The 11,391-nt window shown below is 41.8% G+C and overlaps 1 annotated feature.

Moving 5' to 3' along the window:
- Nucleotides 3,257–4,456: an enhancer, noted in NCBI's record as "MED14-independent group 3 enhancer chrY:16452370-16453569 (GRCh37/hg19 assembly coordinates)". NCBI's record gives its function as "activates an origin of replication core promoter dependent on BRD2, BRD4, P300/CBP and CDK7 cofactors, and independent of MED14, by STARR-seq in HCT116 cells {active_cell/tissue: HCT116}" and the evidence as "EXISTENCE:reporter gene assay evidence [ECO:0000049][PMID:35650434]".

Below are 11,391 nucleotides of genomic sequence, written 5' to 3'. Positions count from 1 at the left end.
GGATATAAGCATAAGACACCCAAGCCAGAAATGACAACCCTTCTGGGTCCCCTTCCACCGCGTGGAAGTTTTACTTTCACTTTGGCTTTAATAAATCTTGCCAGCACACACTCTTTGGGTTGGTGCCCTTCTCTAATTGAGCTGTAACACTCACCACTGGTCCATGACTACATTCCTTGAAGCCTTTGAGACCAGAAACCCTTCAATTGAGAAAAGACCTTAGATCAGGAGAAGAATTTTCATCTCATTTCTGGTCGCCCATATAGGGATTATCCATAGCAGTGAGTAACATTGGACCCCTTTCGCTTGCTATTCTCTTCTATCTTCTCACCAGAAATTAGAGGAAAACACTGGGCACCTGTCTGCCATTTAAAAGTGACAAGCATGGCCACTGGACTTAAGACACAGGTATGAGGCTTTCTGGGAAAGGACTCTTTCTTTAATTACCCCCATCCCTCTGTGCTTAGAGCATTGATCTGCTGGAACCAGTTCCACTTTTCTCTGCCTTTCCTGGGAAAAGCTGAGGGCTGGCTAGAGGAAGAAAACTGTCATCCCTTACTCCTGGCACTGACCTGGTTTAGATCATGGCACAGTGAGAAGCCTCTACTCTGCAGCTGCCCATATGTGCATTCTCTGTCTTTTCTGACCCATGCCTCCTGGGTCCTAATGTCCTCAGAGAAGACTTTCTTGAGGCCCTATCCTCTAGGATCTTTCCTACCCCTGAGTCTAAGAATCTTTTGGCTAGGAACCTAAGTTGAGTGGGGTGGCAATCCAAAGACCCTTGCTCATGGTGCCCCCAGCCTTATTCTTATGCAAATGGATATCACTATACTTATACAGGACCTGTCCCTCATAACCTATACCCTAGGCACTGTCTGGGACCTCAAAGGGCATGCCAGTGGCTGATAGAAGGTCTATGACATTTTTCCTTTTTTTGCCCTAAACTTACCTCAGATTGTAGAGTCTACTTTAATTACCAGCTTTCCTGTCTGGGATCAGTGATTAGAATTGTAGAACTTCTCCACCTCCATACTCAGGTCTCCCCAAATCTCTCTCTCCCGCTAGTAAGGTCTCTCCCTTTGGCCCAAAAGCAACCAGACAAAGAGATAGTCAAGGAACCGTAAGGTGCCAATGGCCCTCGATTGTGCCCCTCCAAGCCATGGGAGGAGGAGGAGACTTTGGCCTGGCATGAATACATGTACCCTTTTCCCTCTCAGACTTAAAACAGATCAAACTGGACATAGGAAAATTATCAGATAATCCTGATGGATATATAGACCTCTTAAAGGGATTAGGACAATCTTTTGATTTAGCATGGAGAGATATTATATTGTTGATAGGTCAAACATTAACTCCCAACTAAAGTGGCCCTGGAGTTTGGGGATCTCTGGTAGCTAAGCCAGGTAAATGATAAAATGACATCAGAAGAAAGGAAACAGTTCTCCACAGGGGCCAACAGGCGGTTCCCAGTGTGGATCCCCATTGGGACCTCAATTCGGAGCATGGAGGCTGGAGTCACAGGCATTTACGGTCTTGTATACTAGAGGGATTAAGAAAGACCAGAAAAAAGCCAATGAATTACTAATTGATGTCCACCATAATGCAGGGAAAGGAAGAAAACCCTATGGCATTTTTAGAGAGGCTAAGGGAGACATTAAGAAACTATACCTCCTTGTCACCTGACTCTATTGAAGGCCAACTAATTTTAAAGGATAAGTTCAGTCATTCAGTCAGCTGCAGACATTAGAATAAAACTTCAAAACCTGCCCTGGGCCCCAAGCAAAATTTAGAAACTCTATTGAATTTGGCCACTTCGGTGTTTTATAATAGGAACCAAGAGGAGCAGGCTGAACCAGGCTGAATGAGACAGACTAGACAAGAAAAAGGCCGCCATCTTAATCATGGCTCTCAGGCAGACAAACTTTGGTGGCTCTAAAAGAAAGAAAGGCTGGGCAGGCAACCCACCTAACAGGGCTGGTTGTCAGTGTGGCTTACAGGGGCACTTCAATAAGGACTGCCCAAACCAAAATAAGCCACCCCTCATCTATGTCCCTTGTGCCAGGGGGATCACTGGAAGGCACACTGCCCCTGAGGGCAAAGGTCCTCTGGGCCAGAGGCCACTAACCAGATGGTCTAACACAGGACTAAGGGTGCCTGCCAGCCCATGCCATCACCTGCACAGAGCCCCAGGTAAGCTTAACCATTGATGTCCAGGAAAATAACTTCCCCCTGGACACTGGTGTGGCCTTCTCAGTTTTACTCTTCTGTCCTGGACAACTACTGTCCAGGTATGTCACCATCAAAATGTTCCTAGGACAGCCAGTCACTAGGCATTTCTCCCACTCCCTAAGTTGTGACTGGGGAACCTTATTTTTCTCTCATGCATTTCTTATTATTCCTGAGAGCCCTACTCCTTTACTAGGGAGAGACCACTATATAGTTATATACTGCTAAAGCAGGGAGCATTATATATTGAATATAGGAGAAGGAATACCTGTTTGCTGCCCTCTACTCGAGGAGGGAGTTAATCCTGAAGTGTGAGCAGAGAAAGGACAATACAGATGAGCAAAAAACACTTATCCAGTTCAAGTTAAATTAAAGGATCCTACCTCCTTTCCTTATCGAAGGCTGTACTCCCTCAGACCAGAAGCCCAATACGGGTTACAAAAGATCGTCAAAGACCTAAAAGCACAAGGATTAGTCAGTCACTACCACTTGCTAAATTTATTTAATGTCACCATTGCTGAAATTCACAAGGCCTCCAGCCAAAATCCAACTGACTGCTGGATGTTCCTCCCCTTATGCTTTAAACTATTTGTCCCAGTTCCTGCTCCCAAACATTGGAAAGCCATGAACTGAGAACAAACACCACAGCCCTGGTGGGCCCTTTAGTCTCAAGTCTAGAAATAACACATACATCAAATCTCACCTGTGTAAAATTTAGCACAACCATTAATGCAGCCATCTTCCAGTGCAAAACATGGATTACCCTACCTCCACGACTCTCTTGCTTACCATCAGGGATCTTTTTTGTTTGTGGCTTCTCAGCTTACCACTGCTTAAATAGTTCCTCCAAAAGTCTATGCTTTCTCTCCTTTTTGGTGCCCCCCTATGACTGTCTATATGGATCAGGAATTACAGGATTTTCTTTTACCCAAACCCCGTTACAAATGGGCAGTAGTCTTGCCATTTATTATTGAGGCTGGGATAAAAGGAGGACTAGGAACTGGCATTGGTGGCATTACCACCACCACTCAATTCTAGTACAAATTATCACAGGAGTTAAATGATGACATGGAATGAGTTGCAGACTCACTGGTCACCTTATAAAGCCAGCCTAACCCTTTAGCAACAGTAGCCCTTCAAAATTGGAGGGCCTTAGATTTATTAATAGCCAAAAGAGGTGGAACCTGTGTTTTTCTAGGAGAAGAGTGCTGCTATGTCATTAATCAATCTAGACTTGTCACCAAGAAGTTTAGGGAGCTTTGAGACCAGATACACTGCCAGGCACAAGAGCTTCAAGACACAGGTCTTGGAGTATTGTCAACCAATAGATGCCCTGGTTTCTGCCCTTCTTGGGACCCTTGGTGGCTATTGTGATGTTGCCTATCTGTGGAGCCTGCATTTTTAACCTCCTTGTAAAATTTATCCTTTCAGAATAGAATCCATGAAACTGCGAATGGTTCTACAGATGGAGCCCCAAATGACCACCACTAGCACCTGCTATCGAGGACCCCTAGACTGAACCGCCAACCTGTTACTTCACCATGACACTGAAGACTCCCCTCCTGAGGAAAACTCAACTGCAGAGCCACTTCTATGCCCCAGTTCAGCAGTAAGTAGCTAGAACAGTTGTTGCCCAACTTCCCAACAGCACTTGGGCTTTCTTGTTGAGATGGAGAACTGAGAGACTAAGTGGCTAAGTTGTCTGGACTTCCTGGGTCAATAGGGACTTCCCCAAGGGCTTTCCCCTAAGCCAAAATGAGTCATAGCTGCAAGCTAAGGGATTGAAACTCTAACCAATTAAAGGGGACTTTCCTCTAAGCCACAATGAGTCATAGCTGCAAACTAACAGATTGAAACTTCAATCAATCATATAGGGAGTTTAAGCTGCAGCTGTAGCCTAGTGCTTTTAACCAATCAGGCCTGCCAACCTACAAGTGATAGAAAATAAGCTAATCCTACAGGACGGAAAAAGGAAAACGGGAAGATTCTTAAGGGGATACAAGCATAAGGCATCCAAGCCAGAAACAGCAACCCTTCTGGGCCCCCTTCCACTGCCTGGAAGCTTTACTTTTGCTTTTGTTTTACTTTCACTTTCGCTTTAATAAATCTTGCCACTGCACACTCTTCAGGTCCCTGCCTTTCTGTAATCAAGCTATAACACTCGCAGCTGTGATCCACAGCTTTGTTCCTTGAAGCCCGTGAGACCGTGAACCCTTCTATCCAGGAAAGACCTTCCATCAAGAGAAGACTTCTTGTCTCATTTCGATGTTATATATAAAGGCTTGAGCACTCTCAAGTTTTGAAACATGTGGGGGGGTCCAGAAATCAATCACCTCTGGATACTGAGGAACAACTACTGTCAATAAAACCAGGGTATGCTTAAGAAAAGATTGATTATCTAGTGCTACAATAATGCAGCACAGCAAACACCCTTTACCTTACCATGATGGCTTGAAATAAAATGCAGTTGTCTAACTTATGAGATGGATTATGGGTTGCACATTTAGGTTGTGTTCAGCCAAATGGTATTTTGGTTCCCTGTTGACTTCACTCCTATGGTTATCATCTGAGATAACTGCACCATAGGTCTCTTATCTTCCAGCAAGCTAGCTCAGGCATGAGCTAAAGATGGGGGCCAACTGCAGGAGCACAAGAAAAAGCACAAGAACTTTCAAAATCTCTGCCACTGTTGACACCCATTGTAACATTGCTAAACCAAGTAATGAGATGAACTCAAAATTTAGGGATCAACTATCCCCTACTTTCTGGTGAGAAAAGCTGTAATGTGGTCACATTGTGAAGGCCTGGTTTCATGACAGGCTGAGAAATCAGGGCACTAATGCTATCTCCCTTCCTCCAGGAACATCTGGATTTCATATCAAATCATCATTAGCAAAAGCAGGTCTGTGACAGCTATTCACACACTACAAGCTTTGTTTGGAGTAGATGCTTTTTGCTGTTTAATTCAACATAAGTGCATGCTACTCGAGGTGCAGTTCACATCTAATTCATCCTGGCAATTCCCTAGGGAGGCCATGATGTGCAAAACTGGAACTGTCCAAACACTATGCAGTTATTCTTTCATATTTAAAATGATCAACGCGTAACCCACACACAATATTGTCTGAGCAAAAATAGTATTTTCTTGTGCTAAGTCACAGAAATAAAAAGTCTAACCGGATAATTGCTTACACCACTGAATATTTAACATTTCATGAAATAAATCTTGATAAAAAGTTTTTAAGTGTATATATAAAGTCAAGAATGACTTTCTATCTTAACACATGTGTAAATCAGGATTCTTTCAATTGTAGAACACCAACACCATCATCATTAGACTAACTCTATTAAAGGTATTCATGGACAAACTGTGCAATATTAAATTTGCAAACTCCAACAAAAGCACTATGGGAATAAAGGATATGTTGAAAAAAAAGTGCAAGTGGTATAGCAATCATACAATATGTTTAGGTCTTCTAAGCTTGGTTCCCTTATCAAAATATTTCCCCAGAAATAATCACCCATTTGACACTAGACTGGCTTTCTATAACTCCAGCTTTCTCTAACTATTTTTAAGCATCTTTCTCTGTTGCCCAGGCTGGATTCCAGTGGTTGTATCACAGCTTACTACATCACTTCAGACTCCCAAAGTGCTGAGATTATAAACATGAGCTATCTATCATGCCCAGCCAAAATCAGATATAAAAAAATAACTTCTGCATGTTCTTTAATATAGCTGCTATATACACTTTTTATGAGACAAATCCCCCTAAAAAACTGGCTCTAGGAGACAATCTGTTTGTCCACTTGTTTGCTTTTATCATATATAAAAAAACATAATTTTGTGCTTTTTTTCTCTAAAAAGGACAAGGTAAATATTGACACATAATTGCATTTTCTTCATTACCCAAGTTTGTTTTTCATATATTATCTTTTATCAGCCTTTGCACTGATATATTTTGTAATTAAGTCTTCAGTTAATGTTTAGTAGGGGGATGTCAACTAAGTTATCTGTTGCTACCCCTGAGTCTAAGAATCTTTTGGCTAGGAACCTATACACTATACATAAAAATATAGTGGCTGATATGGTTTGACTGCGTTCCCACCCAAATCTCATTTTGAATTTAATTCCCATAATCCCCACCTGTCATGGGAGGGCCCATGTGGGAGATAATGGAATCACTGGGGCAGTTTCCCCATGCTATTTTCATAATAGTGAGTAAGTTCTCAAGAAATCTGATGGCTTTATAAGGGACTTCCCCCTTGGCTTGGCTCCTATTCTCCTTGTTGCTGCCATGTAAAGTAGGATGTGTTTGCTTCCCCTTCCACCATGATTGTAAGTTTCCTGAGGCCTCCTCAGCCATGCCGAACTACAAGTCAACCAAACCTCTTTCCTTTATTAATTACCAAGCCTTGGGTATGTTTTTATTAGCAATGTGAGAATGAACTAATACAGTGGCTTACACAAGAGTTGATTATTTAACACATGATACTTCAGTTTGCTAATTTGGGCAGAGCTCAGCTAGGATTGCTCATCTCTATTGCTTGTGGTATCTCTTGGCTCAGTAATGTGGATGGGGACTAACCTAGGAGAGATGGAACAGCTAAGATGGCTGCACCTCCGCTCCATATGGTCTCAATTTCTCCAGGAGGCCAGCTTAGCCATGTTCAGATATCAGTGTTTAAGCAGAGGAAGTGGAAGCTCCAGAGCTTCTTGAAGTCCAGACTCGGCACTTTAACATAATCAAATGTGGAGGGAAGCCCCAGTTTATAGGGCAAGAAAATAGGCTTTCCTTCTTAGAGAAAGAAACTAAAAAGAATCTGTGACCACCTTAATCTTCCACAGCTACAGATTAGGTATACTCATCACTGGATGAAAACCTTGGCACACACAAAAAATGGCATTGATTGTTTTAATGGAAAGCTCAATTTCCACTTAGGGAAATAAAAATCCAAATTTAGTCAGTGGCAACTCAAATATAAATGAAAATAATTCATGTATATTTTAAATGGATACAAGATGCATCAATTCAGGAAACATCAGAGATTTCATAGTGCAAATGAATTATACAGTGAAACAACTTAATTGCAATGTATTGACACATCTTATCCTTTCAAAATGCTTCAAAGAATGAATTGAATTATAGCCTTCCTGTAATTTTAAATGAGTTGATAACTTGTTTTCCCTTATATACTTTATATTTTGATTTAAAGCTAGACAGTTTTTAAAATAAATATGGAGATACGTGTGTATATGTGTGCTTGTATCCCCAAGTCATTTATAAAATAGAGCATAGCAGTACATAAGAAAACATCTAAAATTAAACAAATAACTATCTAATAACCATCTTTCTTTTTTCAGCAGCTATCTGCATAGAGAAAAAATAGCCAAGTCTAGATATGAATAGAACAAAATTTAAAATAAACAATTTTAGTCATCAGAATTTAAGGAGACAAGTGTATAGACAGTTTCTCATTAAGTATTCATTTCTGAAATTTTTTGAATTTCCCTGGAGGATAAATAGTAATTTGTCTCCCTCCATAATTTCAGATTTTCACAGTCATCTAAAAGATAAATAATATAGTTATGACAAAGGCAAAGTTTGAAAGCTGATATTTCTATCCCTCTCTTTTCATTATAATTCCCATTCTATTCTCTTCCGGAGATAATGGCAACTTTCAGTTGAAGCAATACCTATTCCTAGCAAAAGAAGGGCATCAGAATTTGAGCTCTTTGACAGCAGCACAAACAAAAACGTCATTCTCAAACAGCCTTGATAGAAGATGAAGTTCAGCAGTGAGCATGCAGTGCAAGAATGTGGATCTCTCTGTTATACCCCAAAGACTGGAAGAGAATCTTCTGCAAGCTAATTATAGGGCCACGGCCAGGAAGCAATCTGTGTAATCTCCCTATGATTCCCTACCTCTCTTTCTGAGCTGACACACCTAAGAATAGTTATTATGAAGTAAACCTCCTCTGTCCTTCTGGGGTGATGGGTTGTTTTGCCATGAACTCAGGGCTGCCATTTCCTTCATAAAAATCCCATTCATTGTGACAGCAGAGTTAGGATGCAATCCCAGGATGATTTTCCGGAGGATTTCAAGGGATGCACTCATAGCACACTTTCTTCCATGTGACTGATATAGAAAAATATTTAGTGGGTAACTTCTCATCAAGGAGTGAGGGGACCCTGTTAAGCAAAAACTCTCAAACCATGTTTTCCTTCTGCTTTCAAACCACAGCAAACAACAGAGAAGACTTCTCAAACAAAATGTAGAGTTCTCCCCATGCAAACTATCTTAGCCTGTTCTCACACTGCTAATAAAGACATACCTAAGACTGAGTAATTTATAAAAGCTTAACGGACCCACAGTCCCACGTGGCTGGGAAGGCCTCACAATTATGGCAGAGGACAAAGGAGGAGAAAGGCACATCTTACATGGAGGCAGGAAAAAGGGAGTGTGCAGGGGAACTTCCCTTTATAAAACTACCACATCTTGTGAGACTTATTCACTATCACAAGAATATCATGGGAAAACCTGGCCCCATGATTCAATTACCTCACACCAGATTCCTCCCACGACCCATTGGAATTGTGGTAGCTACAATTCAAGATGAGATTTGGGTGGCAACAAAGCCAAATCATATCACATACCAAGCAGTGGACAACAAGTGTGTATCCTCTAATTAACTTTGGACACTCTCTATCTGGATATAGTGTCAGATCCCACATGGTGATGATTCAGTCCCCAAAACTACCCTCTACCCTGAGGCACCAGTAGCAACTCCAGGACTCCTGAACTTCTGAATGACCAGCTTCAAGTTGACATTCCCATGGCCCGCTCTTTTAGTTCCATTAATTTGCTAGAGTGGCTCACAGAACTCATGGAAACACATTGATGGTTTATTATAAAGACTACTACAAAGGATAAAATAAAGAAAGATGTAGGGCAAAGTGTGGGGGAAAGAATACAGAATTTTTATGCTCTCCCTGGGAACACCACCCTCCAACCATGTTCAGTCATCCAGAAGTTCTTCGAACCCAGTCCTCTTTGGGTTACATGAAGACTTCATTATATAGACATGATTGATAACTGTGTACAAATGCAATTGGACCAAAAATACAGGAGCTAAACACAGGAAGGAGTCTATTCAGACTTTTCTTGGACTCTCTGGGTAGCATTCTTCCTCTAAGGTATAGGGAAGTATGCTCTCTAGAATGAGGGCCTTTTGACCCACAATCAGATTACAATCTTGCCTTGGGCAGGGGAAAAGAGGACAGAAGAAATTCAGAGAGAGATTCTGTTTTCTGAGACCTAAACTGTCCCAACATTATAGCCAAAGACCAAAATAAGGGTAATGGGAGTTGTAAGTTGGGAACTGTGGACAAAAACCTGTGTGTGTGTGTGTGTGTGTGTGTGTGTGTGTGTGTGTGTGTGTTGTCCAATCACATTTCTACTTGTCAATCAGCCCTATGTAATGAAGCCTGCATAAAACACACACATATATGTGTATGCGTATTTGTGTATATCTGTGTATCATATATATGTATATATTCACAATATCATAGACCCCATGTGAGAATATTTATGAGTGAGCCAGGGTGGCAGGGGCTGGGCAGGGTACATATACGAAATATTGTCTTGCCTAGCAGCAAAGGACAGCAGTTATCCCAAGGGTCTCCTAGCATGACTGAAGAGGCTGCTATATCTAGTCCATTGCCACACAGATCCAAGTTTAATGATTTATAGGAAAAATTGATCAGGCATCTGGACTGATCTGCATGAGGTATGCCACAGCTTCATGAATAGAAAATCCCACCTGGTTGGGCTCTAAGAATTGTGGAACTGGTTCTCAGAGAGGTTCCACCCATCACCAAGGACCTTCCATGATGAAAATTCTAGTGTGTGAAAATGTGCAATGCTGTCTGTGTTGGAGAATGCTGCAAAATTTTTGAGACATGTATGTTCTTGTAATAAGCTAATTTTACAAGAAGTTTTCAAAATGTAAATCATAAACCAGAGAGGACCCTGCAATCAACAGACTGGGTTGCAATGGGCTTTCCTTAAAATGAAGGGCCATTATGGCTTACAGTGGCCTCTAGTTTGCAGATACTTGTGCTAGCTCAGTGACTTCCACACTTTGTCTTGCAAAACATCCTCAGGGACTGTAGGTGTGGGGAAAAGAAGGTGAGAGGCCAGAATCCAGACTCCTCTAATCCTCACCTCCCTGCTAGCCCCATGGGTTCAACAGCAGTTCCCTGTTTTTGTCTGTTTGGCACATTGAACTATCAGCAGATCAGCTCGTGTGTCTCAGTATGTTGGGATTTCAACATGAAATTATTTTGTCTTGAAGCCAACTGCCTTGTAGGAAATTGAGTTAATCAGCCAGGGATGTACTAATAAAGTACCATAGGCTCCAGGGCATCAATGACAAAGATTTAATTCTCTCACATTCCGGAGGCTGCAAGTCTGAGGTCAAGGCGTCTCAGGACTGGTTCCTCCTGAAGCCTCCCTCCTTGGTGTAGATGCTGTCTTCCCTCTGTATCCTCATGTGGTTGTCTTTCTGTGTGTGTCTGTGTCCCAATCTTTTCTGATAACACCACAGTTCGATAGGACTAGGGTCCACCCATATGACTTCATTGTACCTTAATTACCTCTTTAGAGGTTCCATATCCAAATATAGCCACATTCTGAGGTCCTGAGGGTTAAGACTCAGCATATGAATTTGGGAGGACACAATTGGGCCCATTATAGAAGGGGCTGAATATGTGCTCCCATAACATCTCCATGTAATTCCATAAACAGTCACCTTCAATTGCTGGGACAGTCTCATTTGCCACCACACAAACCACCCCTGTGACAACCAAGGTAGGCTTATCGGGTCTAGTACTGGTTCTTTTGACGTCCAGATAGGGAGGAAGGAGAGGAGCACTCAGAAACAGCTTTCTGGGGCTCCCATAGAGAAGTTGGAGTCCTCTGGTTCTCTCCTGGATGGGCTGTATGCATTGTTCTACTTCATGATCATGGAATTGCCTCAATAATCCCCAGGACAAGGAGATTTCTATAAAATAGCATCAGGTCATATTTTCTGATTTATCTTCAGCTGGTTGCAACACAGCACAAACTCTGAGGGGGCATGGTTTTTGTTCAATGTTATGCCAT

Source organism: Homo sapiens, chromosome Y (assembly GCF_000001405.40).
Source record: "Homo sapiens chromosome Y, GRCh38.p14 Primary Assembly".
NCBI lineage: Eukaryota > Metazoa > Chordata > Mammalia > Primates > Hominidae > Homo > Homo sapiens.
This window is presented reverse-complemented; position numbering and strand designations above follow the sequence as displayed.